Source organism: Homo sapiens, chromosome 3, assembly GCF_000001405.40.
Source record: "Homo sapiens chromosome 3, GRCh38.p14 Primary Assembly".
Taxonomy (NCBI): domain Eukaryota; kingdom Metazoa; phylum Chordata; class Mammalia; order Primates; family Hominidae; genus Homo; species Homo sapiens.
Window position 1 is genome coordinate 62,795,550 of NC_000003.12, and position 17,665 is coordinate 62,813,214.

Here is a 17,665-nt window from a genome sequence, read left to right on the forward strand (position 1 = left end):
TCCATCTCGCTTTACCAACTTTCTGTTTCAGGTTCTTCTTCATAGGCCCTCATTCATTCATTCACTCAATAAATATTCATTGAGTGCCCACAAAGTGCCAGACATTGGAGGTCAAAGAGGAATAAAACACATTCTGGCCCTTGAAGAACTTTGAGTCTCTTGGGCAAGCCACATGTGGACAGATGATTTCCACAGAACCTTCTGTCTACTACTGGTATTATGGACCACAGAAGGGCTCCTAACCAGACTTGGATAGTAGGGGAAGGCCTCCTGCAAGACATGAAAAAGGAGCTGATTGCTGAAGGATCAATGGGAGGTAACAGAGTAGAGAAGACTGGGACCATATTCCAGGTGGAGGGAACAACATCAACAGGGGTACAGAAATCATGATGGTGGGGACACTCTACATGATTAAATGTTAGATGTTTAAGTGTGAGGAAGGGATGGCATGGGCCAGGTCATGGAAAGTCTTGAATCATGTGCTAAAAAGCTTGAATTTGATCCTGTAAGAACCAGGAGCTATGAAGGTTTTATTCAGGAAAATGAAGGTATTATGTCATTGGATTTTTTCGTAAGAGACAGGGTCTCACTACATTGCCCAGGCTGGAGTGCAGTGGCTATTCACAGGTGCAGTTCCATTATGAACAGCATAAGAGTTTGACCTGTTCTGTTTCTGATCTGGGTCAATTCATCCCTCCTTAGGCAACCTGGTGGTCCCTGCTAGCAGGAGATAACCACATTGATGCTGGATTCAGCACAGACACCAACTGGCATAGTGCACTACAGCCCAGAGATCTTGGGCTCAAGTGATACTCCTGCCTTAGCCTCTGGAGTAGTTTGGACCACAGTCACAAGCTACCATGCTGTGGCTTATTTGAATTTTTAAGAAGCATGCTTACAACTTCCTTTTCTTGAGCTCATGAATGGCAGCAATTTGCACCTGGTCAAGTTAAGAAAAAGGATGATGAAATCCGTGAAGGAGTTACATAAGAAGACAAATGATGTCTTAAAAAGACATTAAAAATTTTTCTGGAGAAGGCCTATAGCAGAGAGAGTCTAGGCATGGGCATAATTGCAACTCTTATTTATATGGGCATCATTTGCTTAAACTAAGAGATGATTTCACTCTGATTGGAAACCATTTCTGATTCAACTTAAATGACCTGCATAAATATTTTATAACCATTCAGGATCAGCATATTTGCAGATAAGCCAGACTACTTAATAAAATGTGTGTTTTAGCGCTGCAGAGAGGAAAAAAATTGAATAATTGTAGGAAATGTTGGAATCAAAAAATGTGTGACAGAAATTCTTTGGGTAAACAAATCATTGCTATGAAAACACTGCTTCCCATAATTTAGTATTTAGTAATCACCTACTAATTAAATAAATGCTAGAATATTGCGAAGCTTAAGTCCTTATTTTTCTTAAAACTGTAAGCATGCTTATATTTACAATTTTACCAACTGCATATTTTTTCCTTTATTCTAAGAGAAAAAGAGAAGTGAGATGCATTGAGACAGTCTGGAGAAATTAATGCACAGAGTTAACCTGTATTATCCAACCCAAAAGTTTTCTCCTGGAAAATCAGTTTGAGTTACTGTATGGTTTTTGTTTTTTGTTTTTTTTCCTCAGGGAGTGTCCATGAAATAGCCCTTTAACCCCATTCTTTTCTTGAGGAATGGCAGTTACATTTCTTTGTTTTGTTCTTTCTTATATAGGGGGCCCATAAATTGTGTCCTGTGACGGTGTTTGGTTTCCTCATGGGTAGAGATCAAGTCTTGCCTTCTGTGTGACTGCTCCCCTCCCAGCACTTTGCATGCAGTAGACGCCCATAAAATATTTAATGAATAATGAACGAATTATCCAATCAACTCTCACTCCACTTCATCTCCTGTTTGATAGAGAAGATAGATATTTCCAGAAAGGCAAATTTAAAAGGTTTCCTGATCATGTCCTTTGCAGAGACATGGATGGAGCTGGAGGCCATTAGCCTTAGCAAACGAATGCAGGAGCAGAAAACCAAACACCACATGTTCTCACTTATAAGTGGGAGCTAAATGATGAGAACACATGGACACATAGAGAAGAACAACACACAATGGGGCCTGTTGGAGGGTGAAAGGTGGGAGGAGAGAGAGGATCAGGAAAAATAACTAACGGGTACTAGGCTTCATACCTAGGAGATAAAATAATCTGTGTAACTGACCCCCAGGACACAAGCTTACCTATGTAACAAACCTGCACTTGCACCCCTGAACTGAAAAGTTAAAAAAAGAAAAAAAGAAAAATAAAAGGTTTCCTGAAAGTAATCTATAACAAAAAAATCTTTTGAGACTGAAAAATGTAACATATATATTTTTTAGAAACGACCATGAAAACTAATAAATGCAAAACTTAATGTTTGACATTCATTCATTCATTCGTTCAACAAATACTGAGCATCTGCTGTGTTCTAGGCACTACATTTGGAGCTGTGGATACAAAAGTGAGTATGAAAGACATGGCAGACAGACAATATACAAGTAAGCATTAAATAAACATTCCAGACTGAGATAAACGCAATGAAGCAGATAAACAATGTGATGGCTAATACTGAGTGTCAACTTGATTGGATTGCTCCTGGGTGTGTCTGTGAGGGTGGTGCCAAAGGAGATTAACACTGGAGTCAGTCGACTGGGAGAGACAGACCCATCCTTAATCTGGGTGGGCACCATCTAATCAGCTGCCAGTGTGGCTAAGATAAAGCAGGCAGAAGAACGTGGAAGGACTTGATTTGCTGAATCTTCCAGCCTTCATCCTCCTTCCAGCAGGAAGCTGTATGCTTCCTGCTCTTGAACATCAGACTCTAAATTATTCAGCTTTTGGACTCTTGGGCTTACACCAGTGAAGCCTGCACTGTTGGCTTATCTACTTTTGAGGTTTTTGGGACTTGGACTGGCTTCCTTTCTCCTCAGCTTGCAGATGGCCTATTGTAGGACTTCACCTTGTGATTGTGTGAGTCAATAATCCTTAATAAACTCCCCTTCAGATTCACATCTATCCTATTAGTTCTGTCCCTCTAGAGAATACTAATACAAACAGGGAGATGAATTTTCTACTCATCTTTTAAAGTTCAGCCCAAATGTTACCCCTGTGAAGCTTCCCTCAATATCCCTAGGATGTGTTAGGTACTTTTTCCTGCTTCCTCTCATTAATCTTTCCACATAGCTTCTTTACACAATGTTTCACTTTGTATCCCAGTAACAGGCTTGTCAGTATTCATACCAGATTATGAACAAGGATCTCACATATAGGAGACATTCATTAAGAAATTGTTGAGTAAAGAATGAATGACCTGTATTGGCTCTTAAAGCAACAGAAGCTCCCAAGTACTGATGGAGAACCCACTGCCATGAGTCTCTCTAGACATCAGCAGATATTTTGGCATGAACTTCAGCAGCCATTCCTAGTATTACCCTATAGAGCTGCTTGTCCAAGCTTTACCTGATGGTCATCCTCTAGCACCCTGTTGTGGTGACCCTCCTCTAGACAGCATATGTGTGTCATGTGTGCCTAACTTGCCCATGTTCTCCAGGAGAAGAGTAATGCTTCACAGACTGTGCTTCACAGATTGTCCACCACTGTTGACAGCACTTTACTTGGGTGCTCTGAGGAACTGTGCATTTCTTAAACAAAAGGGTTAAGACCCAAATGAGGGGGTTACTGGTTCAGAGCTAACTCTAGATTCTGGCTTTTGTAGCCGAGGGTGCCTCTGTCCAGTGTTAGCCATGTAGCCTGTTGGTGTGCTCTAACTCTGGAGGCAGACTACCTAGATTCAAATCGGCTCTGTCACCTACTTGCTCAACAAGTTCACCTATGAAACACTCTTCCTTGATATCTTGGTGAGAAAAATTATACCTTCACAGACTGATCCTAAATTTATCTCTATTTTTAAATAACTTGTTTCCTCTATGGAATACATTCAGGTCTAAATACATTTTGTCAAGCAGCAAGATAATGTTAGGATTACAGGCACAAATTCTAGAGTCAAATCAACCTGCACTCAAGTGTTGGCTCTTCCAGTTTCTGTGTATGTGACCCTGGGGCAGTTGCTTAACCTCTCTGAGCCTCAGCTATTTTTAATGTATAAGTGTAGACAAACTGTATAATTTGGGGTTTATAATGGGGTTGAATGAGATTATGTATGCAAAGGGCTTGATTATGCCTGGGAAATGGGAGCTCAATAAATGTTAGCCACTGTTACCACCACCACCACCATCACAGTTGGAAAGTGATTATCCATGATATTTCTACATTTCTTTGACCACTTTCATTCTTGGCTGTCCTTTCAAGGATATTTACATGTCAAACAGTCTTGGAAAGTAGAGATAGAGCTTCTCTGCAGGGCAGAGGGAAGATTTGTTTCCTGACTAGGATAATAAGGATAATGTTTCTCTCCTGAGCAGGTTTGCTAGCAGTACCTTATAAGATTGGGCTTTCCTAAGCTCAGGGTTCCTTAGCTGTCACATAGACCCACACTGTTTGTGGGATCTGCCTGGGCTCCTCCAAATTACCCCCCAGGACTTGGGGAACAGGGGAAATGGGTGCCAACAGAAAGCACATGCCCTCTGCTGTGCTGTGAGTAGGACAGTCCTTTGTCACTTTCACAGGAGTTTCGTGTCATCTGCCAGCATTTAGGAAGCTCAGTGGAGTAAAATTGTACACCCTTCTCAGTTCTTTAAAATGATAGTCATCATCATTATCACCATCATCATCATCATCATCATTCTTTTGGGTGAAAAAAATGTTGAAAGCAAATATTAAGGTCATCATCCTAAGTGAAACTCCTTTTATGATTCAGGGGTACCACTCCCTTTGAAGGTACTAATCATTTGACTTTTATATACAGACTATGACTAATTTATTATATGCTTTTCCAGAATCATGTAGAAAAAATGAAAACTAAATTTACTGGGAAGATATTTTAAATGTGAGTTTACTGTGTGTTTACTGAATGTGAGTTAACATGACTTATTAAATATAGAAATATGTTTAAATTACAGATTACAGATTTGCGTTATCCTTGTTAATATAAACATGTTCATTTATTTCTGCTGGGTTTTGAAGGCACAGAATTCAAAATCAGAGCCACCCATGCAATTTGGTATGTATATTGTAGTGCCATGATTTTGTTAAATGTGTTTCTTAATATGCTTTTTATCTATGTCATTTTAGTTAAATGGTTTGGAATAAACCAAAACAACAACAAAAAGATTAAAACATCTTTCCCAGAAAACGCGTTTACAAAACATTCGTTCTCGATGTCTTAGTAATAAAACAATTTTACACCTAGAGCCCCCAGTTTAATTTTCCTTCTTTCTATTTTTATACAAAACCCTTATTTTCCCATCAGGGGAAAACAGAGCTTAGCTACATTTGTTAAGGTGGTAGGCTGGGGTAGATGGTAAGAGTAGAGTCAAGTCAGTCAAATGGATCTTGATTTAAGTCCTGGTTTCCCCACTTGCTAGTGTGGTGACTAACCTTGGACTGTGAACCTGTTTCTTCATCTGTAGAGTGGGCATTATACCACAAACCTTGAAGAATTACTGAGAGGCTTAACTAACAGATAGTGCTTCAAGAACACTAGTGAAATATGTGCTTATAATATAAGAAAAGAAAGAACAGATGATCTACTCCATAAATGCCATTGATGCAAGAATTTTTTGGCAGATTTAAAGTTGAATTAGAAATAATCTCTGCCCCACAACTGTTCTTTGGTTTTATGACTTTGGCTTACTCTGAAAGATTAAAAAAAGAAATAAGCACATAGAATTTATATTTATTTGCCATAGGGATGATGTTAAAGATATCATCTCCTATGTTTCTCAGTGAGACCTCAATGAAAACCCAGGAAAAACATTATTTCATGCATAAGGTCCCAGATAATCTTGTCTTTCCTTAAGGAATTTTTATGCTTTTATTCAGGAAAAATATGTGACTTTCCTGTTGTGCTGTGGCTATCAGGAAGCTGTAAATGAAATCTGTGGTTCCATGTTTTAAATCCAGCAAATTAGATATTAATGTTTGATTTTAATTTGATATTAATAACCATAATAGTAGCTACCACTTATTTAACGCCAATATGTGCCAGGTGTTGTTCACAAATCATCTCTACTCCTAAATTGACCTGTGAAGCAGGTGTCATTACCCCGTTTTACGGATTAAAAAAAAAGGCCCAGCTGAGTGAAGCTACTTTGTTCAGGGTCACACATGAGGGAGGTGAAGGTGAGATTTACACCCAGGTGGTTCTGACCTCAAAATGTATGTTCTTTCTACTGTTGTAATCATTGAGCCTGTCTAGATTTTCCTGAATCTTAATTTTTTTCTTTATAGTTATTTTGTTGGACACAATTGTGCAGACATCACTCTTTGTTTTAGCACACTTTGCTTGTTTTAAACATTGCTTTGTGGTTTCTATCCAGTGAAGTCTTTGTGAGGAGAAAGATTCAGATTGGCAGCTTTGCCTCCCAAAGCTGACCTACACAGCAAAAGTCTGTTCTGTGTAAGCAAATAATATATATCAGTGGAACATGATTAAGCCACAGGACACATAAGGCCAAGCCAAATTTTGACTATAACCTAGTATTATGGAGTGTGGACAGTGCATAATGATGCCAAATTAAGACACACATGCACACATGTGCACACACACAAACCTACATACCTGTAAAACACACTCTCATGAGTTTCTTGAAATATTGTCCAAAAATTCTGCACCTACAAAACCAGCTTGTCTGCTGGCTCTTTGTAAATGTTGTACTCTTTGCCCGGAATGTTTTCCTTCTTACCACTTTCTTTACCTAATTCACTTCTACTCATTCTTCAAATCTCTAAACAGCCTTCATATTCACTGAGCCACCTCCCACTCACCCCTCTTCAAGATTAGGTCAACCTCTCCTAATCTCTCTAACAGGTGCCCAGCATCTTCAAAGTGATAGGCACCTAAAACATTTTAATTGAATGAATCAGTGAATCTCTGGCTGATGGATTTCGATGAGGGTCGATTTAGAGACCCTGGATGAAGGTGGTGGTTTCAAAGTGAAAAGAGCTCAAAATCTACCTTTAAAATCCCAGGTATTGAATGAATTGAATGAATAAACAAACACTGATAGATTACTTATCCAGTGGACATTCATAATGCTTGACACCTTCATAGTTTTTCAAATCAGGAAACTGAAGTTAGTTCATTATGGTGTACAATCTTTCCCAAGGGTCAACTAAGCAATTCCCAGCCATCCTGCTCTTTCCTACTATTCTCTGGTCTGGTTCAGAATGTTGATCCAGAGAAAAGAGGCATTTTTCTGTGTCCCCAAATAGGTCATTTCCAGCAATACGTCCACACTGTTAAGAGGCACTAGTTTTCAGACTTAGAAGGCAGTCACCTAGTAGTGCTGAGTAGGCTTCTGAGATGAGCAAGAAGAACACTTAGGAAAGGACAGGGCTGAGGCACAGAACACTGGCCTCTTCTATGCTTTGCCTCCTCTTAGCAACCTCCACTATTCTGCCTTCAAGATGTGTTTTAATGCATAGGAGAGCTGAACCATGCAACTCCACATTGCTACACCTGCTGGGTGATTTACTGAGTGGGTAGATCCACAAGATCAAGTATCCACTAGCTGGGGAAGGAGAGAAGCCTTGATCTGAGACGAATGATCCTTGAAAACACAGAGAAAGCTTATTAAAGAGCCTGTAAGACATTAAGGTAGGGGCATTACTGAATAATGGCATTTGAGATGCTTCCTTTTTTTTTTTTTTTTTTCTATATAGCAGGGATTCTCAACCAGAGAGGATTTTGCTCACCTCTTCCTCAGGGCTATTTGGAAAAGTCTGGACATATTTTTTAGCTGTCACAACTGGAGGTGAGGGGGAGACTGCTACTGGCATCTAGTGGGTAGAAGGCTGTGTTGCTGCCTAACATCTCAAAATGAACGTGATGGCCCTTGCCCCACGTGTCAACAGTGGGGAGATGAGAAACCCTGATATATAACTATATGATCCTGGGTTCCTTACCCTCCTTGTGCCTCCACTTTTCATCTGTAAAAGTGGGTATAACAATCATTCTTATCTCACAAGGTGAATGTGAGTGTTAGCATTGTCATCTGTAAAGTGTTTTTGGCCCATAGAAAAAGCACTCTAAATGTTAACAGATAGTAAGTCACCGTGTAGCTTAAAAATCCTCTCGTTTTCCCAGGATACGAGAGGATAATTTTCAGGGTAACTTCAAGTTCTTCTCCTGCTGATCTTGTCCTACATCCTCTCACCAGTGAAGCCTCATTTGCCAATTTCTAGTCCCTCAACAGATCCCACTTTTCCCTCCGTGGGGCCTTTGCACAGGCTGGTCCTTCTTCCTAGGTACCCTTTCCCACATTTCTTTTGGAAGGCCTTCTAATGTCACTGGAAACGTCATTACCTCAAAAGGACCTTTCCTGACCACACTGCCTCAGTAGGACTCTGATTTTATTTTCTCTGGTGCCTCCCTGCTCCTTGAACAGCCCTGGTCACAATCAGGACGTATTAATTTGCTTGCTTACTTGATGAATGTCTCCATCCCCCAGTTGATTACATGCTACATGTGGACAGGGACCATTATGTCTGTACTGCTTAATTCAAGGACCACAATAAATACTTGACGGATGAATGAATGGACAGATAAATGAAGAAACTGGGGAGCTGGGAAAACCACTCCCCCTTTGAGGCTGGAGGAGATGAAACACATAGTGAGGACTCAGAGCCATCTTGAGGCCAAGGGTATTCTATTTTAATAGCTTTCTCAAGAGGAAAGGCCACTGTTGCCAGGGGCGATTCTGGGTAGAATAGGGCTGAGTTGGGTGAGAGGGGTGAGTGACTGAGAGAGAGAGGAAATACATTCCCATTATGTTGAAGGACAGCCCTTATTTATATTAATGTTTAATTCCACTGACCTAGTTTAGACTCACTAGCTTTATGAATTTATTTTTGGCTTGTTTTTTTTCTTTTGGGAAGAGGTTCATCAGAGATGAGAGCTGCAGTAACAACATGTTTCAATATGTTGCTCCCTGGCGATTTGAAACACCCCGAGAAATAGCTCTGTATTGTGTATTGTTGTTGCCTTGCAAATCTATAGCACGTATTTGACATAAGTGCTTTAATATTGGGAGGCTGTAGTTCAGATTACAACGTATCACAGTGATTTATATTTTATCTTTATTTATTTATATATTTGTTTATTTACTTCAAATGGTGAAAAGACAAAATCACATAGTGTTGAAGTGCCATAGACACAGTATGTCCTGACCTTATAATGGGAAGAGGAGGACAAAAATCTCAAATTTACTGAGAGTGAACAAAGTATAAATAATCAAGGATTTTAAGAACCAATATCAAGAAATATAGAGGCCCAAGGATGGAATCACAGAGATGAAATCAGTACAGGGAAGGATTTCTCACCTCGGAGCTATTGACATTTAGGACCAGATAATTCTTTGTTGTGGGTGGCAGTCCTAGGCATGGTGGGATATTTAAGTAGGATTCATGGCTTCTACTAACTACATGCCTATAGCACTCCCCAGTTGTTACAACCAAAAATACCTCCTGACACTGCAGAATGTTCCCTGGAATGGGGTTAGGGGTCAAAATTGCCCCCAGTTGAGAACCGCTCACTGTTATTGAGAATTCATTTGCTAACATTTCTCAAGCGCTGCTTTCTGTGCCCAGTGTACTGTATCCATCCTCTCAGTTACGCCTCAAAGGCAACCTATGAAGTAGGTATTAACCTTATCTCCCTTTGTCTGAGGAAGAAACTGAAGCTAAGTCATTTAGTAACTGCCTTTGATCACTCCATTAGGAAGCACTAAGGGATTGGTCTGATTTCACACTGGGGTTGGTCTGACTTCAAATCTTACCTCGAAACTACTATGCTATTACGTAGTGTTTTTCTCAATCTTCATTTAAAGATGAGTCATCTATAGTTTATGAACTGCCTTCAATCAATTTTCCTTTCCCTTCCTTCCACAAACATGTATCAGCACTAACTATATGTAAAGCAGCTGTGCTAACTGAAGGCTGGAGAGGCTCTGCTGCCTAATCTCATTTTACTTCCCTAGATCCATTCTCTTCCCTTTTCCCCTCTGCTCTGTGTTCAGGGATGCTGATTTCTATAGACTGCTGTAACCAGCTTCCTTGCCTGATGCTTTTCTGTTGAGCTCAGCTAATGAGAGGCACCAGCAGGAGATCAGGGTGGGAAGAGAGAGAGGTTGGAGTATTTAATATACTGGCTCCTTCCTCCCAGAGAGCATTTTGGCACTTCTCTATCTAAAACCACAGTTCTTGTTCAGTGGCCTGTCTTTTGTGCCCCAAGCTGTCACCAGTAACCTCCTCCCCTGCCTCTGCAAACTATGGGCTCCCTGCTGTTGCTAGCCCTAGGGTGTTTCTCCATCCCTTATGGCTTTTCCTTGCTCTGTCCAACCTTCTTTAAATAATCCCTTCATAATGTACCCCTCAATTACCCAGTCTGGGCGAGGCAGCTGTGTTCTGCCAGCTGTGTTCTGCTATGACTGATACAGAGGAATGAAAGACACTAATAAAGGATGAGAGCCTAACCCTTCCCTGGGAAAATTTTCAAACTATTTGGGAGACAAATTGTTCAGACCAAATAGCTAAAGTAATTACGTTGTGTACATAGAAAATGTACAGTATACTAACAATAGTAGCAATAGTAAAGACTTTCATTGAACATCTACTTTAAACCAGGGCATTCAGCCTGGGCAACATAGCAAGACCTCGTCTTTAGTTAAAAAAAAAAAAAAAAAAAAATTAGCCGGGTGTGGTGGCATGCAACTGTATTCCTAGTTACTCAGAAGGCTGAGGCAGGAAGATTGCTTGAGTATGGGAGATCAAGGCTGCAGAGAGCTGTGATCTCCACTGCACTCCAGTCTGGACAACAGAGCAAAACCCTGTCTCCAAATAAATAAAAAGAAACAGGGCATTAAAGTCTTTCTCTCACTTAGTCCTGACAATAACCCTGTGGGGTGTGTGTTACTGGTCCCCTTTATGGTTGAGGAAACAGGATTAGAGAAATTAGGTAACGTATTTAAGGACATACAGCTAGTAATTGGCAGAGTATGTTACTGAATTTAATGATCAAAGTAGAGTTTAACTAATATTAACCTCAATTGCAAACCAATGTGATTTTTTTAAAAAAGGAAACAAGCATAAGAACAAGCAAGTATTTTTGAAAGAACTGTCTGCAGTTGAAAAGGCACTAATTCAAATGACACTAATTTAGAAATTGTCCTTGCTCAGGCAAGGAATCTGCAACTCTTCCTGAATAAGATTCTGGAATAATTATTTCCTCTCTAACATTTATAGTCTTGGGACAGTGAAGGCTACAGTCCAAAAGAGATCGCTTTTTAAAATCAAGGGCTTTGAAATTAAAGATGACTTCAATGAGTCTTTAATTCCTGTATTTTAAAGATAGTTTGTTTTCATGATATATTATTGCACAAAACGGGTCTATCAGGGAATAAGACATTTTGACCCAAGGGTTTGACCCTGCCATTTCAATGCCACAAATGTCTAAATGTCTTGATTACAAACATTAATCAGACTTAAATCAACACTGGGGAATCTTCATCAAGGCAGTTGTTTCTTGGACAAATATCAGTAAGCCAATTTAATTCTTTCATCAAATTTCCTTTTTTTTTTTTTTTGAGACGTAGTTTTGCTCTTGTCGCCCAGGCTGGAGGGCACTGGCGTGATCTCAGCTCACTGCAACCTCCGCCTCCTGGGTACAAGTGATTCTCCTGCCTCAGATTCCCAAGTAGCTGGGATTACAGGTGCCCACCATTACACCCAGCTAATTTTTGCATTTTTAGTAGAGATGAGGTTTCATCATGTTGGCCAAGCTGGTCTCACACTCAGGAGTTCAAGTACTTCACCTGCCTCGGCCTCCCAAAGTGCTGGGATTACAGGTATGAGCCACCGAGCCTGGCCATGATTCTTCAATCAAGTTTCTATCCAACACGATAAACTCATTTCCAATTTTTCAATATTTTTATTTTATCAATTATTTTCATAGGGGTGAGCTCATTTCTTTTGAAAATCTTTAATACATATTTACTTCATCTGCCAGTTTTTATTCACAATGATTTCAAATATATATTGCCACAGTGATTTTTTTCATTGGCCATTATTTCTACTGAGGTTCATTTTCCTGGGTCAACTGTTATATATCTAGATTTTGTCAAGAGGGTGCTATTTCCCATCAATTTTTAGGTACTACCAACTTGGTATTTCTTTTTTCTTTCTTTCTTTCTTTTTTTTGAGACAGAGTCTTGCACTGTTGCCCAGGTTGGAGTGCAATGGTGTAATCTCAGCTAACTGCAAACTCCACCTCCCGGGTTCACGCGATTCTCCTGCCTCAGCCTCCCGAGTAGCTGGGACTACGGGCGCACATCACCACACCCAGCTAATTTTTTGTATTTTTAGTAGAGATGGGGTTTCACTATGTTGGCCAGACTGGTCTTGAACTCCTGACCTCATGATCCGCCAGCCTCAGCCTCCCAAAGTGCTGGGATTACAGGTATGAGCCACTGCACCCAGCCTCAATTTGATATTTCTAAACGCTGAATGTTTCTAAATGGAATGAAATGCTGAATATATCTAAATGGAATAAAAATAATAAAAGATTGCTAGCCTTATGAGAAAACTGAGGTACAAGATTTTGAGTCTGACTCTCCAGAAAAATGAGACTTAGAGAGGTCAAGAGGCAGAGAATGGGAGAAAAAAAGTAAAAGTGGACAAAGAGAGAGAGCCTGAAGCTCTCCTGGTGGTCTGGTTACCTATTCTTAAAGTCTTCAGGGTCAAAGGGTGCGGTCAAAAAGTCCTGCTTCAGGCCCAGGTTGATTGCTATTTGTCATCATCATTCTTTATTTTCCTTAGTGGCACCCAGCTGTATCTTATTTGTATAATTTCTCTTAGGTTGCAAGGTACCATTCTCCTGGTTTTCCTTCTGACTCCCTGACCTTCCTTCCCAGAATCCATGGTTTATTCCTCCTCCTCTGTTTGATGTCAAATGTTGGGGAGTGCCAGGGCCCTGTCCTGGGTGTCCTTTCCTCAGTGTCCTTTCTCTTTCGATGTTATCATCTAAAAGGTGGCCTTCAGTGCCACCTTCTATGCAAATACCACTCAAAACTGTATCTCTAGCCTTGACCTTCCACTAAGCACTAGACTCTTAGATCCAATGCTTAACGGATGCCTCTACCTGGATGGTGGAGTACAATATGCATTTCAAACCTAACACAACCCAAACAGAATTCTGGACTTTTCCATCCTAAACCTCTTCCTCCTCCAACTCTTCCTCCTCCAACTCAATAAACAATACCACCATGTACTCAACTGCACAAACCAAAAATTGTAGACATTATTCTTGATTTAGCTTTTTCTTTCTTTTTCCTTCACTTAATCCATCGTCAAGTTCTGTTGAGTCTATTGCCAGATATAGCTCAGATCCTACTACCTCTGTACATCTGCACTGCTGCCACTTGAATCCTTGCCACAGTCCTTTGCTGATCAATTGTCATGTTTCCTCATTGAAATCCCAGCTCCCACTGTTGCTTTTCATACTTTCTAGATGTTAGTGATCTTTAAAAAAAAATATATTGAATCACGTTGCTCCTCCTGCCTGAAACTTCCAATGGCTTTCCATTGCACTTAGAATAGCATTCAAACTGTTTCCTCTGGCTCAAAAATACCCACAAGAGCAAACCCCTGGGCACCTCTGTGATGTCACTACCTTTGCCCTCTTTTACTGGATGCCAGTGCCACAGGCCTTCTTTCTCTTCCTCAAGCAAGCCAATCTCAGGGTTTGTCCTTTCTCAGAGCTTTTCCACAGCAATCATCCTTACATTTGCCAGGAATACTCATTCCTCTTATCTCATGTGACTGTTTCCTTTTGTTGTTCAGGTTTCAGCCTAATTGTCATCTCCCCAGACTGCCCAGTCTAAAGTAGCTCCCAGGAAGTCTCTGTTGCATCACCCAGCTTTAACATTATACAAAGCACTTATCACTCTCTGGTGGTTTTCTTATTAATTACTTGAACAGTCTTCTGTCTTATTCCACTAGAACGTCAGGTCCACAAGAGGAGGGATGAGGTTTGTCTTGCCTATTGCTGTATTTTCATCCTCTGGCACAGTGCCTGTCATACAGTAGATGATGCATAATATCCATGAAATGAATATGTGTATGGTAATACCATACACATCAGAATATAAAGACACTGTAGGTGTTTATTTAATAGACTCTCACCCCCATCATTCTGAACACATACAATTACGTCTTAACATAAAACATTGCCTTTTAATTTTGCTGCAATTGCCACAATATAGCCATATCACTCACAAATAATCTTTGAATACCAGGATTATTTTCAAGTGGTCCACACTGGCCTGCATATTTTCTGAATCTAATTAGAACCACAGGCCAGGATGCAATTCTAACTCTGCTGCTAAGGACCTATGTGATGCTGGTCAAGCCACTACCATTACGGGCCCCTAATCTGGGAAATGACCTTCCCTAAGATCCCTTTCAGCTCTAAACAAGCAATGGAGAGTAGTCCTCAAAAGCATGGTTTTGGTACCAGATGGACTTGAACTAAAAACTATTTTCTGTGTAGGAGAACATGGGCCTCAGTTTTTCCTCTAAAAGGTAAAGACGATAATGTTATCTATGGCCAAATAAATGAGCAATTTTATTCACATAATCACCCAATATAACTACCAGTTTATAATGAGCACTCAAAGCATATTAGTAGTAGTGGTCATATATTATTATTATTAATATAATCATCATCATCATTCATGAGTATCAATTTCTGAGAAGCAGCTTTTCAAGTACATGCCCACTAAATATTAAAATCATTGGGGAAATTCTCATGAAAGTATCTGATTAATTTCTTTATTACTCGGATTTGTTTTTACAAATGGTCTGTTGTCTGTTCTTTTCCAGAGCATGAATTTCTGATAATCATTGAGAGAACAAAATGACTTCCATTATCCAGTTAACATACAGTTCTGTAGCAGAATTAATCCATGTCTTTGCATGCTAAGTCATAGAAAACTGAATAGCTGTATCCTAAAACCATAGCTTCACTCTTGAGTGTCTTTGTTCCCTGTGAGCCTCCTCTGCTGAATATCCCACTGTCATTTCTTTGCTTTTCCACTCCCGGTCCACAAGTAGAAATGCTGCCCATTAGGGCGATTGTGAGGGCGCAGGGCTCTTACGTGTGTTTGGTGCCTAGCACAGAGCTGTGCACAAAGCACAAAGGAGGCTATCAGTTAAGCTGAGCTTTCTTTTCCCCTTCCAATTCAAATGAACCTGATACAAAATCCAAAGGAACTGGTACTGGTGGTGGGGAAACAAACCCAGAATAGAGGAATAGTAGTTTATGGAACCAGACTCTGTTTATAAACCAGCCCTTCTTAAACTGGGACCCGTGGTTCTTAGCTTTCATCAAGCTTTCTTAGAGGTTGATGCCCCAACAAAAGCTGAATCAGTGATGTAAATTGCAAAAGGAGTTGGAGGGAAAGCACATTTGAATAAATCAAGTCAAATGCTCCACAAGATTGTTAATATTTAACTAAGAGAGTAGCCTAACATTTTTACTTAATTGCTCTCTCCTCTTTTTTCCACATATTCCACCCACTCCTCCTACCAGCCAATCTTATAAAAAAAAAAATCTGTAAGCCAACATTCTCCTGCACTCCTTCAGAGCTGCTCATTGCATAATCACCTCTAGAGTTATCTGCTTGTCATTTCCATCTCTCAGAAGCACACACCATCCACACCAGAAGCCTCAAGAAAATGCATGCATTGGGCACTATGGATTTATATTTGTTGTTTAGAAATAATTGCAAACCTACCATTTGTAGATTAAGGAATATGGCATATGACTGTTAAAAGCCGTGCATTATAAAGTCTTATCTCAATCCTATCCCATCATTCAAAGCCCAGCTTAAGGCTTCCTAAGACCTTCTCCAGCAGTTACTTCTCTTCCTTCTCTGACAGGTGTGCCACCTAATGTTTTGCTCAGGCAGCTGAACAATGGCATCAATGCTGTAATTGGTAATTCACAATTCTTTCATACAGGGCAAGGGCTGGTGCGTATTAAATCCTCATCAGCTGATTTTTGTTAGAAAGTATCTTCTCAAAATGAGGACATCCATTGTCTCTAAATGTCGTAATTTAAGCAAATTAATTTATAAACTTAAAACAACAAAAAGGACATTATGTGGGAGTATGAATTAAACTTTACAGATACTAGTATTTATTTGGCTTTAATATGGTAAGACTGCTTTTATCTACCTCAGTGTTTTTTAATGGCTTAAATGTCTTTTATCTATGTATATTTCCTCCTAAGACTAAATAATATGTTTATCTTATGTAATGGTATATATAAAATCAAATTACATTAAAAAGATTTTCATTATGAGGCAAAGTATTTACACAGTAATGCCAAGTAAAAGAGGCAAAATACATAATTATATACGGTATGGCTTCCACTATTAAAAATATTCAAAAACAACTGGAAGGAGATACACAAAAATATTAACATATGATATTTATTTTTGGTGGTGGAAAGACAGGTGATTGTTAAGTTACTTTTATATACTTTCCTGCATGTGTACATTTTATACAATGTGCATAATTTTACTATATAATCAAGAAAATGCCACTTTTTAAAAAGTCCTTTTGCCTTAATACATAAGGTGGCCTTCAAGTGAGGTGACACTGGTCAAGCTGTCTAGCTAATATGTCCAAGTTTCATCAGTTAGTGAGTACTAGAGCTGAAATCTGAAAACAGAAACTGTCATTCCTTAGAAATGATCCCTTCCTGCTAGAAAATGAGTTAATAAAAAAGCCATCTTTTCTATTTAGAATCGGGGTAAAGGTACAATCACACATCAAGAGTCATTCAGCTTCAGATGTGCATGCAATTTCATTTTAAAGGCAGCAAAGAAAACAACTGGCATGTGCTGCTTCAGGCAACATGTGCTGTCTAGATAGTTCTACAGGCATTATGCAAGTCACTCATAGGAGCAATTAAATGGTTCAAAATGCATCCTCTCTATCTTCTGAAAGAAAGCTCTTTTAGGAAATTGATGTTGGACCCCTTTCTGAATTACAAGTGAGTGGATTATGCATCTCTCCATAAGAGAGAGCATCAGACCAAGGGCATGCCTCTCCAGGCAAATGATTTATTTATATATGTGTAAGACCCTTTTAGTTAGTGACCCTCCTGATTCTCTGACTTTCTGGTGGAAATTAAATGAGCTGTTTTCTGAGGCTGTGGATGGCGGTTGATGGATAAAGCACAGGAGTAGAAGGGCACTGGACAAAAACGTTTAAACACAAATGGAAAAATATTCCATACTCACGGATTAGAAGAATATCATTAAAATGGTCATATTGCCCACAACAATCTACAGACTCAATGCTATTTCTATCAAATTACCAAAGCCATTTTTTACAGAATTAAAAAAAAACTATTTTAAAATCTATTTGGAATCAAAAAAGGGCCCAAATAGCCAAAGCAATACTAAGCAAAAAGAGTAAATTTGGATGAATCACATTACCTGACCTCACACTA

The 17,665-nt window shown here is 39.5% G+C and overlaps 1 protein-coding gene and 1 pseudogene across 51 annotated transcripts in view; both read right to left on the minus strand.

Annotated features, from left to right (window-relative positions):
- The window catches only part of CADPS (calcium dependent secretion activator), a 477,069-nt gene that overhangs the window by 397,202 nt on the left and 62,202 nt on the right, over window positions 1-17,665 (minus strand). The gene's annotated exons all lie outside the window — the stretch shown is intronic.
- On the minus strand, window positions 575-860 carry RN7SL863P (RNA, 7SL, cytoplasmic 863, pseudogene; annotated as a pseudogene).